This window comes from Homo sapiens, chromosome 20 (assembly GCF_000001405.40).
Source record: "Homo sapiens chromosome 20, GRCh38.p14 Primary Assembly".
In the NCBI taxonomy this organism is placed as follows: Eukaryota; Metazoa; Chordata; class Mammalia; order Primates; family Hominidae; genus Homo; species Homo sapiens.
In genome coordinates this window covers 8,490,701-8,516,651 of record NC_000020.11, presented here as the reverse complement: position 1 = coordinate 8,516,651, position 25,951 = coordinate 8,490,701, and the positions used below count along the sequence as shown (strand labels likewise).

Below are 25,951 nucleotides of genomic sequence, written 5' to 3'. Positions count from 1 at the left end.
CTATAAAAACCTTAGATTCTAAAAGAAACCATGCAATTCCAATGTTTGTAATTTGGCTAAATAAGACTGTGGCTATTTAGCATGTTATGAAAATAAACTCAGAGACTTTCAACATTATTGTACTTACATGTATAAAAGGGAAACTATCTCTGATAGAGTAGGTTGTTGTTCTGAAATGATCACTCATTTCTGTTCACTTCCATAGGAGATGACACTTCTCTGCTCCATTTATGTTGATCTTGGCCATGTGACTTGCTTTGGCCTCATTGTGGGCAAAATTAACACAAGTTGAGCTTAACTATGTAACTGGCTTTGGCCAGAGTAATATTATCAGAAGCAATGAAGCGGAGGCTTGAAATGTGCTGTCATGGTTGAATGTGTTCTCATGTGCTTGGGTCACTGCCAGGAGGACCTGGGCTCAGAGGGGACATGTGAGATGATGATACGGTTTGGCTGTGTCCCAGACCAAGTCTTTCTAGAATTGTAGCTCCCATAATTCCCACGTGTTGTGGGAGGGGCTTGATGGGAAGTAACTGAATCAGGGGGGAGGGTCTTTCCTGTGCCATTTTCATGTTAGTGAACAAGTCTCACAAGAGCTGATGGTTTTACAATGGGAAGTTCCCCTCCTTACGCCCCCTTGCCTGTTGCCATGTAAGATGTGACTTTGCTCTTCCTTTGCCTTCTGCCATGAGTGTGAGGCCTCCCCAGCCATGTAGAATCCATTAAACCTTTTTCCTTTATAAATTACCCATTCTTGGGTATGTCTTTATTAGCAGCATGAGAACAGACTAATAAAGACACTGTGTAACAGAGCCACCTTAACTAACCTGCCCAGCTGAGCCAAATCTAGATAAGCACTCCCAGCTGTCCCAAATGCAATGATAGACAGTTTTTAGCTGAAGCCACTATGCTTTGGGGTGTTTGTTATGCATTGATGTTAAATGTGCACATTTCTTATATGAACTTTTCTTTATATTGTGCCTCCCTCAAAGCCATGCACAACCAGACAATAAATTATTTCTGATCAAGGCACTAAACAAGGAAATGACCCAGATTGTGGGAAGTAGAGATTGGGAAGGAGGTTCTAATTAGCTGCTCTCTGAGCTAGGAATACAAATTTCTAGATACACCAGGCATCAGTTTGAATAATTGTATGGGATATAGGAAAGCAGCCTCATAGAAAAGCCTGCATACACTAACACACGCTCACAGCATCTATGTGATAGGAGGAAAGCTTCAGGAAAGGTAAATGATTAGGGTGGAAATTTTTAATAATTGTATGCAACCTGAGTATATTTAGAGCCATAATTATAAATGTAATTTACTGTAATGGTGTCTTCATGCTAACAACTATTAGTTTAATAAAACTGCTGTTATAATGAAGCAGATGCTATTACTGAAACAGCTCTATAATTGAAGGGCTATTATAGCCAGTTTAGAACAGAAACAGTAAATAAGTGGTAGTGGGAAGCTCTTCCTCCAGGGCTGAATATATTGAAAATTCAGACACTTTCCATACAGCAATACTTTGTGCCTTGATTTTAACATTTTACCTTCTATGTTTTTGTTTGTTCCTTTGTTTTTGTTTTTTGTCTTCCTGTCATAAGCTAATCAATGTTAGTGGGCCCAAGTCCACTTTAATCTAAGACCTTATTACTCAAAGAGTAGTGTGTAGGCCAGTAGCATTACTATCACCTGGGTACTTATTGGAAACTCAGAATCTTAGCCTAACCCCTGAACTCCTGGAGATGAATATTAGTTTTAACAAAATCCTCAGGTGATTTGTATGACTATTAAAGTTTCAGAAGCATTGGTCTTAGATATTCACTTGGAAAAATTACTTTACATGAACCAAAAATAATAATATAAGAATATTCACCCATACATACATACAAGATATATCATGAAACTAGCAAAAAGATACTGTTTTTGTTTTAACTTTTAGCCACAATTTTCTTTGTTAGGGTAGAAAAAGTACTAAAAGAGAAATGAAACGGCTTTACTCTATGGGGCACAGTATTGTTTAGGGATTGGGTTTCTTGCTTTATTACGGTAGATAATCTGTTTTCTTCTCAGCCTCTGAGTAGCTGGGACTACAGGTGCACACCACCATGCCTTGCTAATTTTTTTTTGTATTTTTCTGTAGAGATGGAGTTTTGCCATGTTGCCCAGGCTGGTTTCTTTTTTCCTTTTTTTTTTTTTTTTTGGAGATGGAGTCTCGCTCTGTTGCCCAGCGCAGGCTGGAGTGTAGTGGCCTAATCTCAGCTCACTACAACCTCCGCCTCCCAGGTTCAAGTGATTCCACTGCCTCAGCCTCCCGAGTAGCTGGGACTACAGGCTCACGCCACCACGCCTGGCTAATTTTTCTATTTTTAGTAGAGACAGGGTTTCGCCGTGTTGCCCAGGTTGGTCTCGAACTCCTGAGCTCAGGCAATCTGCCCACCTCGGCCTACCAAAAGTGCTAGAATTACAGGCGTGAGCCACCATGCCCGGCCCACCCAGGCTGGTTTCAAACTCCTGGGATCAAGCAATCTGCCCACTCTGGCCTCCCTAAGTGTGTAATTACATCTTTTTTCTTCTTAATGACAGGTTTAAAATACTTTTTCTTCTTCTTCTTTTTTGATTTTTTTGAGACAGGGACTGTGTTGTCCAGGCTGGAATGGGGTGGCATGATCTTGGCTCACTGCAGCCTCAACCTGCTGGGGCAAGCCATCTTCCCACCTTAGCCTCCTGGTAGCTGGGACTACAGGCACACACCACCATGCCCAGCTAATTTTTTGTTGTTATTTTTAACTTTTTTTTTAATAGAGACAGAGGTCTTACTATTTTGCCCAGGCTGGTCTTGAACTCCTGAGCTCAAGCGATCTTTCTGCCTTGGCCTCCCAAAGTGCTGGGATTACAAGCATGAGCCACTGCACCTGACCACTTTTGTTTCTTTTAGTTCTGGTAGCGTTTTATCATTTCACTGAAAGCATGTTTGTCCTATCCTCATGCAGTAGATTTTAGAAAACACTACCATATTTCAGTGATATCTCATAGCAACTGGCAGGGGGGACAGAATTCTTACAATACTTCAATGGGGATGTTTCTCTCTTGGCTTCAGCACCTGCAGTATAGGTATTCGTTCCGAATTATCCAATATATTCTAGCACACTTCGTGCATTTAATTGAATATAATTGTTTATACTGTAAAAATAATGTAATTTGTCTTATTGCAACTTTACCATGAAAACAGTGTTCACTGTGTCGTGTTGTCACTTCATAGATTGCTTTTGCTGTGTGTGAATGAATGAGTGTGTGTGTGCCCTTCATTACTGCATAACACATGTACATCCAGGGGCTCTAATACTGACTGCATAGCTTAGTGAATTTCTTCACATCTATATCCCTGTGTGGCCTCCACAAAGATTAAAGAATATGTCCAACACTACTGAAAGTTTCTTGTCTCTTGTCTTTGATCAACTTTGCTTGTTCTTGAACTTTATAAAAAATGGAATCACACAGTACTTGTTTGTGTCTAGATTTATGTATTGAAACCTTTGGTTTAAACATTTTAAAAAAATGAAGCCATTATACTAAGTAAAATAAGCCAGGCACAGAAGGACAAATATTACATGATCTCATTTATATGTGGAATCTAAAAATTCGAACTCGTAGAGGTAGGAAGTAGAATGGTAGCTACCAGACGTTGGGAGAGGGTGGGAGGTAAAAGGGGAGATGATGGTCAAAGGGTACAAAGTTTCCATTAGACAAGAGGAATAATTCCTGGTGATCCATTAAACATTAGGTGACTAGAGTTAATAATAACGTATAGTTCAAAATTGCTAAGAGAATGAATTTGAAATGTTTGTACCACAAAGAAATGATAAGTACGTGAGGTAATGGATATATTAGTCGGATTTACTCCTTCCACAATGTATACATGTATCAAATTGCTCCCCATATTGTACATTGGGGTACAATTTGTATTATGAGGGTACAGATTGTACCCAATGTACAATATGGGGTAAAATTTGATATATGTATACATTGCACCCCATAAATGCACCCCATAAATGTATATAATTATTATTTATCAATTAAAAAAACAAAGCCACAATGTTTTTTATTGTTTAAAAAAAGGAAAGAGATTTTGACATCACAGAATTTCTCCAAGAATCTAAAACAGTTTATTTTAGAAATATTCTGAATAACTTTTGGGAGGTTTATATTACAAAATGTTAATTCCTCCCTCATACACAGAAAGTAAAGAGAATTAGGCTATTTTGTAACATGAGTTTTAAAAATATGTGAAATACATGAAAATTACTTAAGAATTGTAAATATAGCACCTATGCCTAAATCCCGAGTTTTGGTATTGGAATATTGCCTTATTTAAAGCTTGTTTACACAGATTTTTCCATAAAATTTTACAGGATTTCAATGAATCAGAACGTACTAAAAGTGATGACTGTGCACTTAACTTTATAGATTTACGAATAAAACTACATCATTGTTTTAATGCGAAAAGAATGAATAGCTTAATCCCCAATCCAATAAATGTTTCACTACCAGTTTGGCAGTTTTTCAATCATAATGACTGAAACTTTGGAACCCAAAAGCTTTTCCTGCTTGTGTTTAAAATAATGATCATACAGGTGGTAACGTGCGACTGTCCATTTCTGTGCTGAAGAGACAACCCAGAGCGAGAGAAAATATTTGCAAACCACACATCTGATAAGGAGTGAATATCCAAAATATATAAGGAACTCAAACAATCTTATAGCAGAAAACAAAGAATCGAATTTTTTAAAAAAATGGGTAAAGAATTTAAATAGACATTTCTTGAAAGTAGATATACAAATGGTCAACCAGTTTATGAAAAAATGCTCAATATCACTAATTGTCAGAGAAATTAAAATTAAAACAACAGTGAGATATCAGCTCATACCTGTTAGAATGGCTATCATCAAAAAGACAAAAGATAACGAACGTTGGCGAGAATGTGGAGTAAAGGGAACCCCTGTACACAGTTGGCAGGAATATAAACTAGTATAGCCAATTAGGGAAAACAGTATAGATATGCCTCAAAGAACTGAAAATAGAATTACCCTAGAATTCACCAATCTCATTTCCATGTTCATATCCAAAGGATTTGAAATCAACTGTTAAAGAAATATCCACTCTCCTATGTTCTTGAAGTATTATTCACAACAGGCAAGATATGGAACCAACCTAAGTGTCCATCAGTTAATCAATGGATGAAGAAATGTTTTATATATATTTATCTCCATTCATCAGTTAATGAATGGATAAAGAAATGTTTTGTATGTATATATACACTGTTCAGCCTTAAAAAAAAGAAGCAAATTCTGTCATTTGCAACAACATGAATGAACTTGGAGGAAGTTACGCTAAGTGAAATGAGCCAGGTAGAGAAAGATAAGTAAATACTGTTATGATTTCACTTATATGTGGAATCTAAAAAAATCAAACTTACAGAAGTAGAGAGTAGAATGGTGGTTACCAGAGGCTGAGACAGAGATGTTAATCAAAAGGTACAAAGTTTCAGTTAGACAGGAGGAATAATTTTTGAGATCTATTGCACAGCATGGTGACCATAATTAATAATAATATATATTTCAAAATTGCTAACAGTGCAGATTTTAAGTGTTCTCACTACAAAATAATGATTAGTGTGTGAGGTGATGGATATGATAACTAGTTTGATCTAATCATTCAACAATATATACACATAGCATCACATTGTACCCCATAAACATATGTAATCATTATTTGCCAATTATAAATAAAAATTGCAAAAAATGAAATTATTGTCCTGTCAGAAAAAGTCCTAGTAAAAACCCTCTCTTTCAGAAGTAGTAATTAAAGTTTAATTACTTCTTCAGAATGACAATTAAAAATCAATTCAGTTCTGTGTGATCAGTAAATTTTAAATTGCAGTTTGAAAAAGATCAGGGTTGCCGGGCACGGTGGCTCACGCCTGTAATCCCAGCACTTTGGGAGGCCGAGGCGGGCGGATCACCTGTGGTCAGGGGTTGGAAACCAGCCTGGCCAACATGGCGAAACCTCGCCTCTACTAAAAATACAAAAAAAAAATTAGCTGGGCGTGGTGGCCCATGCCTGTAATCCCTGCTTCTTGGGAGGCTGAGGCAGGAGAATCGCTTGAACCTGGGAGGCAGAGGTTGCAGTGAGCCAAGATCGCGCCACTGCACTCCAGTCTGGGCAACAAGAGTGAAACTCCATCTTAAAAAAAAAAAAAAAAAAAGAAAAAGAAAAGAAAAAGATCAGAGTTATCCTAAAATAAATAACTCAGAAAATTAATTTCGTTGTAAATATAGAGGATTAGATTTAGCTTATGGAAAATTTCAAAAGTGAAAGCAAGCTCCAGTTTTGAAATCACATGGTTGATAGAATAAACAAGCTCCTTGTTATAGTTGACACTTTATTCACTAAAATTATCAGTACAGTGATCTTTGGGCATCAAACATAGTAGAAAATAAAATTACTTTTACATTTCCAGAAAATCTTCTCAGGCTTTTTGTCCCTTATCACCTACAAAATCTACATTAATCAGTCAATCAATCAAGACATTATTCAGTGCTGCACTGTTGGTCATAAATTATAATCACTGCCAGAAATAATGGTGAATAATAAGTGTTTCACAATATAGCCTCTGAAAAGAAGATAACATTATAATTAAGGCCAAAAGAAACAAAGCAGATGGCAATGTTTTTTGTACTTACACCAGTCATTAAATTACCTAACAGAGCAATGTTGTATTGAGCAGTCACTTGGAAAATGAACAATTATTCCCGAAACTTCAGAAGGAAGCATAGGGTGTAGTCACCTCAACCATCTTCATGCTATCTATCTATCTATCTATCTATCTATCTATCTATCTATCTATCTATCTATCTATGATCTGCCTATCTCTTTATCAATCATCTGTCTACCTACCTGTTATCCATCTATCTACCTATCTATCTAATCTATTTTTTAACTGACCTCTCTTTTTTCACATTTTAAATTGCTTTTCTAGAGGGTGCCATAGTCTAAATGCTAAAAAACTTTGGGTTTAGCCACTGAAATATCCACTCTCTCTTTACCTCCTCTTCATGGTACTTTATAAGCCTAAAGAAGAATACAGTTTGATGAAAAACCTTAACTAGCTTTCTTTTAGAATACAAACAAAGTGGCAAGCACTGATTGCTTTACTTTGCATATATTTTCAAAGCACATGGAAAATATATTTAATAATCTTCCTTGCTTCAGCTCAAATTATGACTTCATTTCCCAGTTGTCTTACAAGAATTGATGCTCGGATGCGCTCTCCTGTGGAATGTGTTTGGGGAACATGTTGAAGCACGGAACTATTTCCATTGTCTAGCCACACATGGGCAAGGAACTTGTGGGGGGTCACTCTGTAGCATACAACACAAAGCCCCAAAATATTATTCAACACTAGTCGAGGTTTAATGTTGAATTGCTACTACTTCAAACAGGTCAGGTTTTGACAGCTAATGAATTATAGATTTTAATTGAAATTAAGGGAAAAAATATACAATTAAAAGCAATAAGACAGTTTAGGAAGTGATGTGTGCCAAGGGTAGAATGGACGGAGTGGTCTGCCCTCCGTTCAAGTAATAAAGGAATGCATTATCTGAAAGAATTTTTCTTAAATGGCAACTAAAAGTTGGTTGTGTTTGCTGTCATTGTTTCCTGGCAATTCTTTATGTCAGTAGTAAAATAATCTTCCTCCCCAAAAAATCTTTTGTTGGTTTCACTTTTATACAATAGCTGAGGTTACTGTTCAGTTTTCATTGTATACATAGTAAAATATAATTCATATATATATATATAATTCAAAGCATATACATGTTTTAAATTTGCACATTTTTATTACTTATTTTTAAATAATCATTGCATTCTACGTGGAAGTGCTTTTAGAGAACTCCTACTTATAGTGAACTCCCAACATAGAACTGACATATGCACATTCAACACCATGTTTGTTTCCAGATCACATTAGTAATGGATTACTTGAATTCACTCATTTGGTCAAAGGTTGTATCTCTAGCCTCTGCGGTATTACATATACAAGAGTTTAAACAATAGATTGGAAATAAGCAAGGATAGTACGTACAGCCATCTTTACCATCTAAAGATGAACAACCGGAACTTGAGTCACTTCGAGTCTGTCATTCTGTAATCCAGGGTCCTCACGTGTTTAGGTACACACTGTGAAAAAGGGCCCACTTGTAACTGTCACACCTTGAGTTCTTGTTGTTTCAAAAAGTTATAGGAAGAAGTTCAGCCCCAGCAAAACAAAACTGGGATGGACGCAGCAATGCTGATGCTTGAGTTGGATTGAAGTTGAATAACTCCCCTCCTTAGCATACTAAAACCCTGCCCAGGAAGGAGTTTATTTTCCCTTTTCTATACATGCAATATAGGTAGAAGCATGACAGGCGACTGCTCCTGGCTGCCTTTACTCCCCCTTGATCAGCCCAATAAAAGCCCAATTTTCACCTTTGTTCAGACAGGCACTGCTGAACTACCCCAACCCCATGTCCTCCTGACTTGTTGCAAGTCATAAAATCCCTGTGTTAAATCCTCCTTGGGTGTAGTCATTGGAGGCTCACCCACCAAGTGAGCTAGGGTGGAGGGTGTTAGATGCTGCAAAAGCCTAATTTGGATAGGCAGACCTAAAAATTACTAACAATAATGCATTGCAAAATCATGGCATTAGAAAAGGAGACACATAAACTTCCAAAACTCAATACAGAATATTCGATAATAATGTATTTTTCTTATTCCATTTTTTGTATTATATTTATCTTGTTAAAATATTTATTTTCAAATACTACGTTCTTATCTTCTTTATAATTGTTGCATTAACTTTTCTATCCAACTTTCTGGCACCACTCTCTCCAATCCCCCTGGGCCTACCACCATGAAGCAGCTCTCTCTGGCTTACCACTTCCTTGTTGTAAATTTTTATTGCCTTGTATTCCAGATCTGCAATTTCTCTGATGTCCATTAAATCCTGCTTTTCTACCATGATTTTGATCTTTGTTTACTGTTGGTTGTGACACATGGAGAAAACATACGCCTTAAAATGTTCACCGTCCTAAAAGGTTTGTAACTTATTGTAACTATTACTTCTCAGTTGCTTTCTCAGATCCTGACAATCATGCAGTAACTTCCAATTTGCTGAAATCAGCAAATTTCTACCTAGGGTGACCAACGTGACCATACAATTTGTTGTTCAAATCATGACACTTGTGAGACTAAAGGGTTTATTACTAAGAAATTACAGTTGATCCTTGAAAATCATGAGTTTGAGTTGCAAGATTAACTTATATTCTGATTTTCTTCTGCCTTTGCCATCCCTGAGACAGTAAGACCAAGTCCTCCCATGCCCCCTCCTCCATGGCCTACTCAACGTGATGACAAACAGGATGAAGACCTTTATGATGATCCACTTCCACTTAACTAATAGTAAATATATTTTCTCTTCCTTGCAATTTTCTTAGTAGCATTTTATTTTCTCTACCTTACTTTATTGTAAGAATACAGTATACAATACATAGCATACAAAATATGTGTTAATTGACTATGTTATTGGTAAGGCTCCTGGTCAACAGTAGGCTCTTAGTCATTAAGTTTTTAGGGAGTCAAGAGTTATAAGTGGATTTTTGACTATGTAAAGAGTCAGCTCTCCTCACCTCTATTTTGTTCAAGGTTCTACTATAGTTTTATTATATGAATAGACCTATGTAATATTTTTATTAAAACTATTTTAAAAAGTACAATTCCAATAATATCCTTTTAAAATTAAAAATCTGAGGCAAATAACAAACTAATCAAGATTAATTAATCTGAGATTATATCAGATAAACTGCGGTAAAGGGTCAATCTTTTTATAACTAACCTGGGCTTACAGAAAGTAATTTTACATTAGTTAAGGTCAGTTAGATGGACTGATTATTTAACTCTATCTTTTTTGGCAATTCACCCTATAAATAATCAACCAACAAATGGAAATTCATTTACAATGAACTTGGTGTCTTTTTTAACATATCTACAATTGTAGCTTCATTAAAGCTCTGATTTTTCCTGATGTACTTTGGCTTATTAAAATGTATAGTTTTCAAGTTCAATATCTATGGAATAGTTCTTTGCTAGCTGTTTAGCACGTTAAATGGTGGAATTTCCATGTTCAGTATAGGGTACAGCACCAAAAAGATTGATATAGATGATTTCACACTGAGAAAAAAACTGAGGTGCTTATAAAACCTTCTACCATCCCACTGGTAATATTGAGGTGGGGCAATAGACTTATTATTAGATTAGCAAGTTCAATTGAGTTAGGTTCAAGTTCACAGAGCTTAGAATTCTATGCTGGAATTACTGGCCAGATGGCCAATAGGCAAATAGTTTGTTTTAAACGCAAATAATACCTTCCAAAATTCTTGCAAACCAAAGAAAGCGACCACAAACCAGATCATACCATGTTGGCTCAAGTGTTATGTTAAACAAAGTTATAAAAGAACAGCATCTGAGTAAGAAAGGAAGAAAACAGAAACTGGGGAAGTGCACAGACCCTATGCAATGATCTCACTCCTCCATACAGCAGGGCTGAAACTTACATTCAGAAAAGGAAGTTAAATTCTACTGTTATGCCAAGAACAATTTCCTCAAGAAACAGTGAAAACAGTGCTTTCCCAGTGGTCCATTTTGATAGATTCCTCCAATAATAATAGCAAGTAATTTCCATGCAATCTAACCCATCTTTAATTAAATTGTTACCCCATTCACTCTCTTAAAGGCCAACTTGTTTCTCCAAACAGATGTGACATAATTACCAGCTCCAAGAGATTGCTTCTCAACTGAGCCAACTGTATTTTCCCTCTTCTCTCTTTTAAATGCTAAAATTTCTAATGGCCTGTTGGAGAAGAGTTAATACCATTGAGCAGTTTAACAGTTTCAGGAAATTGTCCAAACACGTCTAGCAAAACAGAACATATTTCATGGAGCATTTCACTTGACGGTACAGTAATAAGCAATTTGCCTCTGCAAAGATTTTAGGGTTTATTTTGGAACAAACACCAAACTGACTAGTAGGCTATATTTCTCTATTCTTTCTATTCCTTTCCTCTCCTGGTGAGAGAGAACCATACATGTTGCTTTACTCATCAATTGCATTAACTTAAAATGTCTCTGGTGGGGTAACTAAAACCAGTATCCATTATCCATTCCTTACATCCCAGCCTATGTTTACCTATTTGTCACAGTGGGTTGAGATAGAGCAAACTGCTGGGTCTCAAGAGTGCTCGCCACTCAATGAGAAAGGAGGCAATAGACTGAAGAAATGGAAATGGTCCTGGAAGAATCATTGTTGAGAGTGTGGGGTAAAAAGAATTGCCATTGGTCCTCCCTGAGAAAAGGCTTCTTGTCCCCTTGTCACAGTAAGAACTATCTGGCTAGGTACAGGGGCTCACACATGTAATCCCAGCACTTTTGGATATCAAGGCCTCCAGGAGGATTGCTGAGGCCAGGAGTTTGAGACCATCCTGGACAACATAGCAAGAGCCCATCTCTACCAAAACTTTCAAAATAAGTAGCCCGGCTTGGTGATGTAGTCCTAGCTACTCTAGAGGTTGAGGTAGAAGGATTACTTGAGCCCAGGAGGTCAAGCTGCAATAAGCCAATGTCGTTCCACTGAACTTCAGCCTGTGTGACAAAGTAAGACCTTGTCTCTAAAAAACAAAAACTATCCAATATCTTCCTTCCAGAGAGAAAAGCTACAAAAGAGCACGACTGTCCATTTATTAATGCCACATTGGTAATATTAGACATTTCAGTGGTGCTATAGATTTCAATATTTTTTTTGGAGCCAAACATTCCAGAGGGCACCCAATTTTTGTTGTTGTTTTTGTTTGGTTGGTTTGGTTTGGTATTCTGGTACCTTGTAGGTTAAACTGTGTTTTTAGGGTGAGGTCAGAGGAAAATATAAGCGAAAGAGGAGGGGAAGAAAACAAGAACAAAGAAAGAGGAGGAAGTTGGGGCAGGGGGTTAAAGCATACTCACCTATAGTTTTCTAATTATGTGAATTTCATGTGTAACACAACCATCTCACAGCCCAAACTATAACTAAATGAAAAATTAAAAGGAATTCCACTCTTGATTTATATTTTTCAGAAAATATTTATCAGTGCTATTTACCATTATTTTTAGTATTTTTAGATACATGGGTCACTGCATGTCTCTGCCCACTTCGAAGTTAGGTGTGGCCATGTTGTTTGTTTTGACCAGGAACTTATAGCTCAAGGGGACTGTGTCACTTCTGGGCAGACATTTGAAGAGCCAGTGTGTGATTCGTCATATGCTTTTTCCTTCTGCCACAGTAACCGGAAACATTAGAAACGGTGCAGGCTCCGTCACTGGGCCTTAGAGTGGAGGTGACACAGAGCACAGCCCCCTCTTGATCTGCAATGGGACCATAGCCAGACTGAGAAATACATTGTTTTTCTGTCAAGCTCAGCTGCCAAAAACTGATTAAACCAATGCCTTTCAAGTAAAATCTTTATGCTCCTTAACTCTCCTCTCCACCTCTGCTTCAACCCTAAGGATGTCAGAGTGTTCTACTGAGTAATGGAGGAGAAATAGGACAAGGGGAAGGGAGGAAATATTGATAATGGGAGCCATATTCTTTTCTCCACCATATGCTTGTAAGTCACATAATTTAGATATTAGGCGAGTGAATGAAACTTTTACATTCGACTTTTCTAGACTTAAAATTTTATACTAAATTTTTATTTATGTTACTTAATATTGACATGAGAAATATATTCCCATGATTAAAAATTCAAAAGATCAAATCAATGTATACAATGAAAAGTCTCCCTCAGACCCCCAACCCTATTAGCCCAGATCCTAACATCCACTTATTTTAAAAAAAAATCACAGTCATGTCTAATTTCAGAGATTTGTAGAAGACTGTACAAGAAATACAAATATATCACTTTCTTTTCTCACCATACTTATTCAATACATTGTACATATGACTGTATAGGGTTTAATAGGAAGGGAAGGAAAAAGGATGAAAGCTGGTATTTTTTTAAGGCTTGCTCTGTGAAGTATGGTTTACATACACTCACATAGCAGGTGTCTCCTAACCCTGCAAGTAAGAGAGAAGTGAAAAGAGGTGGAAGGAAAAGGTCATGTCAAAGAGAAGACGGTATTGAATAGTGTGTAGAAGGAAGACAGAGGTGTCTTACCAGGAATTTGAGGAAAGGAAAAACCATGGGCAGTATCTCTTAGGAATCAAAGGGCAGTCCAAGAAGCCATCAGCTATCCTTAGAGATCTGAATGCCATTCTAAGGAGCTTGGATACTTTGTATTGTTGGAGACAGGCTGCAGGAAGCACTTGACCAGATTGGCATTTAGAAAGATCATTTCCTAGTATTCTACTCCTACTGGTGGCCTTTGTGGTTCACTTTCCAAAGTGTCTTCCCTTCTATTAACTAATTTGATCTTCACATTAACCTCTAAGAGGGGTTCTCATTCTATCATTGTCCAGATAAAGGTCAACTCAGTTGCCAAATGTCCCTGCACATAGCTGGTCAGTGGAAGGATCATATATTCCCTACTTCTCTTTAGTCATCCCCAGGATTGATGAAGAGAGGTGACTGGCCAGAGTAGAGTGGAAGAGGGGACTGAATCTGTACTGGGCTTATGTATTTTCTATAACTTGAGGAAAGGAAATGAGAAAGCACAAGACACAGGAGTAAAACAAAATTAAACTAATTTTGCAAATTTATTCCTCTCTAGGGGTCATCAGGAAAATGGCAAAATTATTATCTGTAATTGGGGTTTTCTACAACTATTCTGCCAGCAAATTTTCGAAGAATTCTGCAAAGGTGCATGCAGAACAAAATATTTTCTTCAAGAGTTTGAACCTAGTGTTAGAAAACTAACAAGAACCAAAAATGGAGGAGTAACTACCAATTTACCAATCAGCAAACCGAAAATTTTCTTATCTATAAGAAGGCAGTTGTTCAAAGAATAACTAGAACATAGAAATGTTCGATAGATAGATGAACTTAAGTAGGAAAAAACTATTTAATTAAATGCAAGTCAATGTGCCAGAAAATAATTATGCATTTTATTTCCTTCATATATGATATCCATATATTAATATCTTACAAATAATGCAATAAAAGATTTCAAGCTGTAAACATGTCCAGCTGCCTTGTGAGTTAAAAAATGTTACAAAAATTTCAGAAAATTATATGGCTATTAATACCACCTTTATCATTTGCTGTGGCAGTGCTGACAAGAATAAGAGAAGATTTAAATGTCAGAATAGTTCATGTCAAGTGTTTTTTCTTCCTAGCACACTTTAAGAATATATATTTTTAATAGCTATACTGTATTTAGAGCTGTCCCATAGAACACTGGTAATTTTGGTTTTAAGTTTGCGTAACAGCATTTTAAAAATAAAATCTAATGCAATAGTCATTATATACATTAAAATGGTAAATAATCTTAGTAATAAAAAGATACGTTAATTACATTTAACAAATGAAATGAAGCTATTAACCATAAATTTTATGTCTTTATTGGTTTCAATATTTGTTTTTTTGGAATTGCATTCCTTAGAAGAAAACAATATCAACTTTGGAGAATAAAATAAAACATAGGGATAATACAAGCAAGAAAAAGTCATATATATATATATATATATATATATATATATATATATATATATATATATATGCGATATATCTTTTTTAAAAAAAATAGTGGCATACCGCATACTATATACACTGCTCCTGCACTTTTAAAAAGAAGACTGTTTATAAATACATGTTAAGGCCTTAAGACTGCACACTAACAATCAACAGCCACGAATTTACAGGAAACTCAACTCCATAGAAGAGTTGTGCCTCAGGCCAAGATATGGCATCGGTATGTTTCTTACCACCTATTGTGTGGGATTAATCATAGACTGACATTTTGCTTCCCCAGCTAGAAAATTCAGAAGGACCAGGGATGCTGTTCAGCATTCCAAGCTAGACTGTCTGGCAAGCTGGAAGAAGCTTCTCTAGAGAGGTGGCCACAGGAGGTGGGAGAGGGTTGAGCAAGCCCTCATGGGAAGGCACAATGGAGGTGACCTGGATTGGACCCGCTGCCTTGGGGCACTGCTTTCAATGAAAAGGGCAGACTGTGTCTTTGTTTCTTCAACAAGCACACACTGAGAGCGTGTGGTGCATCAGGCACTGTGCTAGGCACCTGGGGAAGAGCAGTCTACTGCTCATCCAATGGAGTCTCTCCTAGCCTGATCTGACAGCGAGGATGGAGGGAGTTATTAAGCAAATAAGTGAAGACATTAATTTAGAGTTAGAAATTGTGCCAAGTGATTTGTTTTGGCAGAGGTTGGTCCTTGTCGTGGAAAAGGGATCATCTGTTCCAGGTCTTGAATGGAACATAGCCTCTGTCTGTTTCGTCTGTGGATCCACAGTGCGTGCCTCTTGTGTAGCTGGCAGCATGAGAACGAAAAATGATGACCTGGTATCAGTCTCAGGTGTATCCATTGGGGGTGTCTGGATATGAACTGTTGGGGTATCTGAGAAATGCGTATTATAAATGCAAGTATGAATACAAGTACCAATAGTCAGGATATCCAGTGTACTTGTGTGGTTTCAGGAATTGTTAACTGTTTTAGCTATGATTTCACTTAAGCCTCCTGACCACCCTACTACAAGTTAGGACCTTCCTCATAAATCTCATATTATGGAAGAAGAAACTATGTCTTAGGGAGGTGAAATCACTTACCTAATACCATAAAAATAATTAAGAGTGACTCTAGGATTTGATTCGAGGCAAGCTAACATTTGAGCATGGGCTAGTAATCACTAATAAAGGATGTATAATAAAAATAAAGAAGAAAGAGTTTGGTAAATCTTACCTTTCTTATTATAGAAATAAAACACTTAGAGACGGTGTGAGCTATTTGCACACAGTTGAACTCTCAGGTATGGCACTGATTCTGTATATCTTTCTGACTTCCCAATGACAGAAAAAATTATGTAGTTGTTTGATACAGGTACAGCTCAGGTACAGTTTCTCCTGTGATCCCTATGCAGCTGTCAAACCTACCATCATTGCTCATATCATAATGGATTACAGTAGGCTCTATGTTGTCATCCACGATGTTAGCATTTGAGGCAAGATTTGGTTCTTATTATCTGAAATATCTGTATATAACTAGAAACTAGAAGAGTATATAGAATCCGAATGTAAATGTATGTGGTATTGGCTGTAAAATATTTGAATTCTCAAACAAAGAGACCAATTCGTATGGTATAAAATATAATTTAAAGGTATCTCTTATTAAAATGTTCTGTCTCCTTTGTTAGACTCTGCTTTCTTTTGCTTTCTTTTACCTCATGGACTGATTTGATAGATGTTTCCAATCAAAATGACCTTTACCTAAATTAATAATCTGCTAAACAAATCACTAAAATACTGGATACAGTTTAGTCATAATCTTTTCTATAATCTTTCAGTAAATTTCTTATATTATGTAACCAGAAAAATATGTAATCTTTTCTGAATTCCTTTAGTAAATTCCTTACATCATGACTTTTGTTAACAAATATTATCTGCTGGTTGTTTCTAAAAAGTAGAAAGACTGACTTGTCCATCTAATGTTTAATAGACTAGAAGCTCAAAGGCAGCAGTAACATTACCTGTTTATTTATCAGTGTTCCCTGCACCGAAAACAATGCCTAACAAATAATACACTTCTAGTATGCATTGGTTGAATGAATTAATGAAAAATAAAATGAGAGAAAAGTTTTGTGAATCACACCCAAATCTCCACAAATATTTAACTTAATGTGTGCTTCTGTTTTTATCAAATTGCAGCAAGTTAGCCTATTCACTTATTACAAATGTCAGAGTTGAGTATATCCTTTGAGCTACCTGAATGGCATGGATTTTAAAGGGTAGATATTGGCACATATACCAAGAATAAAACAAGCTTATATAAATTTAAACAACAACCAAAATGTTCTAAATTTTATAGACAAGAGTATACAAATACAATTCTCTGCTATATGACCTCTTTATCTTCTCTTCATTGAACAACTGATACAGTCATTGGCACTAATTCTGTATATCTTTCTGACTTTCTAATGCCAGAAAAAAATATATAGTTATTTGATTTTCTCCAGTGTAACTCATACATAAGGTTTTGCTTCATTCAATCCTATATTGATGTTCAACACGTCAGGTGAATATATGAGAAGGCATTGTTCCGTGGAATGTACAAAAGAAGAAAATTAGGGAATGTGAAGAAAAAAGCAATACTTGTATGTTTCTCAGAATTATTATTTTCACCCTTACCTAAAATATCCCAAAAGCACATAAGCTATTATAGTTATTCCTTGCTTGAGAAGTCATCATCAAATACTTTCTGAATGAAAACCACATCCGGCTCAAAATTTAACAAACATACATCTTGGCATGAGAATAGACTCTGAAAAGCTCAGTAATATCACTCCAGTGATAGAAAGAATCTTATTTTTTCTTGGGTTTTCAACCTTGACAAGTGGTACAGGAAGATTTGTGGATAATTTGGTCAATTTTTATACAGCATACACTCAAAAGAATGAAATGAAGGCCAGAACGTCTGCTTTACTAATGACCCGTGCTGTACTTGGGATCCCTACCACCACCATGTGACACAGAAATAAGCCATCTCAGTTGAGGATACCCTCAGCCTGTCTTCGACTCATCTGGAAGTTCACAGCTCTCCTATAAGTTCCTCTAACTGAACTTAGTCTGACGTACATCAGCAGAAACAGCTAGCTGGGCCTACCCCAAATTTCAAATAGCCGAAACATGAGCCTAAACAAAGAGTTGTCTTAAGCCACTAAATTTTGGGGGTAATTTATGCAACAAAAGCTAACTCACTGTCCTTGGGTTAGTCACTATTATGGCATCACATGTCTCTGGTAATGCATCACCAACTATAACTATCTTATTTCCGGATGTTCCCCGCCGCCTTGAGATTGTGATCCCCAAGGGGACAGGGCCCTTTGACAACTTTATTTTGCCACTGTACCCCAAATTCTCAGAAGGGTTCATAGTTGTTAGTTGCCCAATAAGCATTGGTGGAGTAAAGAAATAATATCAATTTTATATAATTATTTGAAGGTTAAATAAAATAACATAAAGGTGGTCGGGCGTGGTGGCTCACGCCTGTAATCCCAGAACTTTGGGAGGCCGAGGCAGGCAGATCATGAGGTCAGGAGATCGAGACCATCTTGGCCAACATGGTGAAACTCCATCTTACTGAAATACAAAAAATTACCCGGGCGTGGTGGCACGTGCCTGTAATTCCAGTTACTTGGGAGGCTAGGGCAGGTGAATCACTTTATCCTGGGAGGCAGCGATTGCAGTGAGCTGAGATCGTGCCACTGCACTCCAGCCTGGCAACAGAGCAAGACTCTATCTCAAAAAGAAAAGAAAAGAAAAACCCATAAAGGCATATTTTGATTCTTGGCTATTGGCTATAGGAATACACTTTTATTATTGGTTTTATTGTCTTATTAAAAGATAAATAATGACCAAGAAACAAAAAGATATTTGGAGAGTCATTATTATATAAAAGGAAAAATGAGGTTCTGAAGACTTGTGAAAAATATTATGTACTAGACTAGAAAATGAACATAGTGGTTAAAAATGAACACTCCCTAATTAATAGGCTAAATTTCTATAGTTAATGAGCTTCTTGCATGTTTACTATTTATTAACTGATTTTAAAAATGTATGAGGAATTTAGATACCTTTTCCATACTTTATTTATTCAAAACATATTCTGTACCTTTACCCAAAATAAATATTTTATTAATCTTATTGCTTTTTAAATCACCCACACACAATCATTTAAATCATCAGTAAGTCAAGGCAATACATGGATCATAAAATCATCTAAAACTATAATCCAGCAGCCACAACCAATCTATTTTATGGTCAAATGCATGGCTAAATCTTTTATAATTAATTAGCTTGTAACTGTTATGAGCAGCCTTCACAAACTAAAAAATATTTGTCTGGTTTTTAGAAAGTGCCAAGGATGAGATGGGTAATTTGAATAGCAATTTTCTTCTCGAAACATATTTAATAATTGCTGGCAAAACTGTATTGAAAATATCATCTTATGAGTTACTTTCCAAAATTAATTTTAGACAGACAGTATTTACCTAAATCCTCATATATCATTTTAAAGTTCAATAACAAATAACAGATGTGTATTTCAAATACTCAACAATGCAGTTAATTTTAAAAACTTAAACATCTTACTATATGCATATATATAGGCAGCATATATACCCAAGATAAGAGGTAGATTTTTCACTTCCAAATTTCAATGTTTGTTTCTACATGAAAAGCATGAGCCTAAGTAAAAATTTGTGCATTTTCCCCTTCACTTCCAAGCAATTGAATTCATTAGAGCATCTCATGTATATTTATCAAATTCCTTAGACACATATATCACTGACATTCACTCTAATCGTAACAGTCTTAAAATTTTATGTCAAGCAAGCTTTTAATATCGTTAAAGTAGTTCAGACCCAGGATTTAGAGACATCATATAGACTAGCTTTTCTTTATACAAGTCCTGTACTTCTTTGACTCAGTTCCTCCACCTGTAAAGTGAGGATATTATCTCTTGCCTGACCTTCAACATTATTATAAAAATGAGCATGAAGGTTAATTTTAAAGTATCATTAGGAGTTTGAGAGTGTGGTAGTAGATACACCACTAAACAAAAGATTGTACTTGGTAGGATACAGGCCAACTTGATTCATGTATTGACTTATGATCTGCTCTGCCAGTCTTTCTTTGAACTGATTTCTACTTTCCACCTATGTATGATGGCCTTTAAGGACATTCTTAGCCAACTCCATGCCAAAAAAGCACCCTGGGAAGAAAATCTACCTCCATCAATGGCTTTAAAGTATGGCCTGTGAATCTTGTCCATCAGCATTTACTAAAGGGGCCCATGAGAAAAAGAGAGGACTGAGAAAATCACTAATTATTAAACATTTCAAAGTAAAGGTACAAATCAATTACCCTGCATCTCCCTCTCTCTCTGGGGCGCAGTGGCGCGATCACTGCTTAATGCAGCCTCCATCTCCCAGGCTCAAGTGATCCTCCCACCTCAGTCTCCTGAGTAGCTGGGACTACAGGCGCATCCCCTGCCTGGCTAATTTTTGTATTTTTTTTTTTTTTTTTTTTGCAGAGATGGGGTCTTGCCATGTTGCCGAGGCTGGTCTCGAACTTCTGGGCTCAAGTCATCCACCCACCTCGGCCTCCCGAAGTGCTTGGATTACAGGCTTGAGCCACCACGTCCAGCTACTCCACATTTCTAGAGAGTAAGTTCTCCTTAAATTATAAGTCTGGGACATACCTTCACTGCTGTATAAAATTAAGCCTCTCATTTAGTTTTCTCATTCAGTTCACATTAAACATATTATATGCTGGGAATGATACTAGGCACTGGAGATTAAGCTACAAAGAAAAAAGCAATGTCTATGCTCTGTTATGGCTCATATCCTTCAGAGGCTGCCAGAAAACATGGAGGAAAACCTAATGTAGAAGATCATGTCCTATTGTGATTAATAAAGCAAGCCACGGGAACATCAGTTGCTTTGGGGGAAGTACCCTTCGTTACTTTGAATAGAGTGAAGAAGGCAATGTGGAGAGATGGCAATTTTGCTGAGCTGGAAAGATCTGGAAAAATTGCAGAAAGGATGGAATAGAGAATACAAAGGCCCCACGGTAGGAAAAGGTCCCTAAGGTAGGAAAAACGTTGGGTATTGAGGCCAGTGCAAGCTAGTGGCATGATTGGTTAAGTAAGGAAGGTAAATCGGCCAGGCGCGGTGGCTCACGCCTGTAATCCCAGCACTTCGGAAGGCCAAGGCAGGCGGATCACGAGGTCAGGAGATCCAGACTATCTTGGCTAACAGGGTGAAACCCCGTCTCTACTAAAAATACAAAAAATTAGCCGGCCATGGTGGCGGGCGCCTGTAGTCCCAGCTACTCAGGAAGCTGAGGCAGGAGAATGGCGTGAACCCGGGAGGTGGAGCTTTCAGTGAGCCGAGATGGCACCACTGCACCCCATCCTGGGCGACACAGCGAGACTCCGTCTCAAAAAAAAAAAAAAAAAAAAAAAAAAAGAAAGGAAGGTAAGGCAAAGTCCACAAACACCGGCTGAACTCAAAGTACAGAGTCTGAAGCCAAAATGTTAAGGTCTGCATTTTGACCCCATTACTTACTGGCTATGTGATCTTGCCTTAATCTAAGACTTTGCTTCCTTAAGTATAAAATAGACATAATGATAGCACTTTCATAGAATTGTAATGAGACTAAATGAATATAACTTCATTTAGTGACAGGCTTAAAATGGTGACTAGCCATAGTAAATGCTGATGCCAAAAGTTCAGTTATCATTCTCCTCCTGCTCATGAATCCACCTCTTCTCCCTTTCTCCATAAGGTTTTTTTTTTTCATAAAAGATTTAAAACTACATCTCAGAGTTGGAAGAAAGGAGTCTCAGAGTGGGACAGCAAAGAAGAAAGAAAAGGGGAAAAGGGGAAAAGAACATATATTCAGTATTAAGGACATGATGTTTAGCCTTCTCACATAATGCGGCTCAGTCCTCAACATAACAACCATGTGAAATACGGTAAGTATCATTTGTGTTTTACATAACATGAAACTGAAATTTGGAGCTTAAATTACTACCCAAAAGCCAAAGAAGTCCCTTACTATGTAAACTAGAAGTGGTAGAGAAGGAAGGAAGCAAGGAAGTAAACAGCAAGAGAGGGAGGAAAGATAAATGACTTAATTATGTTAGAGGGAGCATTATGAAACTTTCTGAGCAAGAAGAAAGAAGTAGAAATTGACACAGAAAATGGACAAAGCAAATATTCTGACACATTTAAAGAACACTCAGAATTACAGAATGAGAAAAGCCTGTTTTTCTCTCCTCTCTTCCTAAAGTATTTCATTCACTGTGGCAGTTAGCTTTTGTTTTCTGACTTAAGTGCAGGCTAGCTTCTGAAATGAAAGAGAGCGTTCAAGTATTTAAAATACATTGCTAATTTTAAAATATTCTGCTGGGTCATGGCATTTTTGCCTACCACAACAATACAACGTATCTTATCTCGAATACATGATTATGTAATTTGAGTTAATTTCCTGGTAATTATTATCTTAGAATTCCTTAAACACATAATAATTCAACCTAAAATGCCTCTGAACATCTATAAAAAGATCTAGAGAAAAAGAAGTGAAAAACTTCAAAAGCGGGAGGAAAGTCATGTTCCAGAATGTTTTCTTGTAATCTTAAGTTTATCCAATATTCAAGACACTACTTTTTAATTCCTTTTCAGAATCTTCGAAGGTGGAAATGCAGACTCTCATACACCAAGGTAAGGACTGCTACCTGAGGTTCACCTTCCAATGATGCTAAAGCACACAGCACTCATGCAGACTCTCATACACCAAGGTAAGGGCTACTACCTGAGGTTCAGCTTCCAGTGATGCTATAGCACACAGCACTCATGCAGACTCTCATACACCAAGGTAAGGACTACTACCTGAGGTTCGGCTTCCAGTGATGCTATAGCACACAGCACTCATGCAGACTCTCATACACCAAGGTAAGGGCTACTACCTGAGGTTCGGCTTCCAGTGATGCTATAGCACACAGCACTCATGCAGACTCTCGTACACCAAGGTAAGGGCTACTACCTGAGGTTCAGCTTCCAGTGATGCTATAGCACACAGCACTCATGCAGACTCTCGTACACCAAGGTAAGGGCTACTACCTGAGGTTCAGCTTCCAGTGATGCTATAGCACACAGCACTCATGCAGACTCTCATACACCAAGGTAAGGGCTACTACCTGAGGTTCAGCTTCCAGTGATGCTAAAGCACACAGCACTCTCAAAATTCACTTTACAAGAAACAAAGCATCTCATAAAGTTAGAATGGAAACAAGCTTACCATTTGCTAGGTTCTGAAAACTATGGAGATTTAATAAATTTTCCAGAGACACGAAGCAAACCAAAGCCTTTTATCTCCTCTAATGAAACCTACCATAAAATTAAACTATTAGCTAAAATCAAATGATGTAAAATCACAACCTTAGAAATTCATGAAAATTAAATTTGTTATACAACCTACACAAAAAATTTTAACCAATGATAGATTTGCTTTTGCTCTAAACTCAAATTATTTTTGGAGTATTTTTTTTAAGTCAGTGTTCATGTTTGCCACTTTTTCAGCCAAATGATAGAATAAAAAGGGGTGCCCTTGATGACCAGAAATGAGAGAAATCAGTGAAAGATAGATGACATATAGGACTGACTAAAACAGAAAATCATGGTGCAGGGATAGGCATTTGAAAAGGGGAGAGCAGCCCATGAGTATTCAAACCTCAAAAGTGGCAGGTATGTTACAGAAGGGGATCTTGGGGTCCCCATTGAGAGGTGCCCACACCAAGCTCATTTCAGTGATTACCTTCTGGGAAAGAAATCAGCTGGAGATAAGAAGGTGATATAAGGGAATTTTATTTTATCTGAACAGTTTGACCTGTTTACGATGAGAATGCTATCAGTTAGGAACTTATGTAATGAACATAATTTAAAAAATCAACAGAAAAAAATGAACATACATTAAAAATGCACACACACACACACACACACACACATATATATATATAATAAAGTTTGCTTTGTAGAAATTGAGTCATGAAAACAAATTTACCAGTTCATAACTAAATCAGCATAAGAAAAATCTACCTCTGGGAATATTTGTGCTTAGGTTTGATCCTATTATATATTCCCAGACAGATACTCTTAGTTCCTGACTTATGTTTACATTATCACTTAGGCACAGAAGAAAGGCATCATTTCCACCAGCCCCAACCCCACCATTTTTTATTACACTGAAACTATAACCTACTAAATTACTCCCCAACATATGTACAGAAGGCAATCTGACTTAATAAAAACAAATTATTCCTGCTTGGATTATTTAGCATTATGCCATGTTATTTAAAACACACACACACAAACACACACACACAGAGAAAAAGCACTTAATTATACCAAACATACCCATAAAACTTTCTCTGATGCAAACATACAAAAGACCTATTTGAACAGTTTATCAGCATTACCAGAATTCAATTTGGAAGATGCAGTTAACAATGCAAGCTACATAAAAGTGAGTGACTCACACACAGAGTCAAATAAGTTATTTACAAGTCAGAAGGGCTATTTTCAAAAGCCTAAATAGTGGAATTCTATGTAAGTAAACAGAAAGTGGGTAGCTTAATTTTCTTTTTAAAACAGAGAGGGGCTGGTTGAAAAAAAAAAAATGGTTGGCAAAGCAACCATTTATTAAAACTGAGTAGGTTTGCTAGTTAATGATGTGGCCAAGACAAATAACACAATTTGGAGAAAATTACTTTAGCCCATTACTCCTTGAACCAAGAATATATATACTAATTTATAAGTGAATTTTGTTATTTCTACTTACTGTCAAAATGGATTAACAGGGATAAGAATTATCCTCAACAACCTGAAACAACAACCAAAACAAAAAAACAAAAAAAAGAACAAACAAAAAACAGCCAAAACATACAAAACAACCGTTTTTAAGACACAGAATGTCAGGTAACAAAGGACAGTGATCCTTGGGGTGCAGGTAAACAAATGAGATGAGTCCTATCGTAACCCAACTTATTGTCTTGTGAGAATTGGCAATCCTTGGTACAGGAAAGGAGAACCCAGGGATTCTGAGTTGAGGAGATATTGCTGAGAATCCAGGAAGATTAAGGCAATTTGAGTTCACAGAAAAGAATATTGGAAAACAGCTTCAGAGAGCAATAACTCTGAAGATCTGTACAGGATCCCAGTGAGTATTCACTTGAGTACTGACTTCCCAAGGTTGAGGAAAGACTACCCACAAGATTTCAAGATTTCGGGGTAACAATGGTCAGCACTACACACAGTACTTGTTCCCAGTGGAACATTAGACAACGTTTACATTAGACCACTTTTCCAGTCTGGAACTTGTTCCCAGAAAAGTGGTCTAATGTAAAAGTCATTAGAGTCCTTGAAAGAGGGGGAGAGGCAGAAAAATATTTGAGAACGTAATGTCTGAAAAACGTTCAAATTTGGTGAGAATAAATTTAAACTCATAGATCAAGGAGCTGAATGCCTTCCTAAGTGCAAGAAATATGAAAGATTTATACACTGAAAACTAAAAAGCAATACTGAAAGAAATTTAAAAACTAAGTAAATGAAGAGATATACCATGCTCATAGATGGAATGACTCAATATTTTTTATAAGACCTAAGCATAAAACCTAAACTAAAAAATAAATTATTAAAAAAGAGGATAAAATATTTGAGTTAGGCAAATATTTATATATATATATGACACAAACACCAAAATCCATAAAAGAACAAATTGATAACTAGATTTTATAAAAGTAAAATATTTATGCTGTTTGAAAGACGGTGTTATAAGAATGAAAAGACATGCCACAGACTTGGAGAAAATATTTGAAAAATCATATATCTAAAGAAAGGATTTGTATTAAGAAAAACACACACACATATATGCTAATATATATGTACACATATATATGTGTACATATAGATATGTGTACATATATATATATATATGCCTATATATATGAGCCAACAACTCTCAAAATCTGAAAATAAGAAAAGAAACTATTCTCCTAAAATCAGCATAAACAGACGCTTTACCAAATAAGAAACTGGGATGGCAAATAAGCACTAGAAAAGGTGTTTCACATCATTAGTCATTAGGGAAATACAAA

At 36.6% G+C, this 25,951-nt stretch overlaps 1 protein-coding gene and 1 long non-coding RNA gene across 3 annotated transcripts in view; both read right to left on the bottom strand.

The window, feature by feature from the left end:
* The window catches only part of PLCB1 (phospholipase C beta 1), a 752,635-nt gene that overhangs the window by 368,249 nt on the left and 358,435 nt on the right, over positions 1 to 25,951 (bottom strand). The window lies entirely within an intron of this gene.
* Positions 4,147 to 25,951, bottom strand: part of LOC124900459 (uncharacterized) — a 112,238-nt gene continuing 90,433 nt past the window's right edge. Inside the window, exon 2 of the long non-coding RNA XR_007067518.1 lies at positions 4,147 to 25,951. This exon is cut by the window's right edge and continues 68,359 nt beyond it. This is a non-coding gene — a long non-coding RNA (uncharacterized LOC124900459).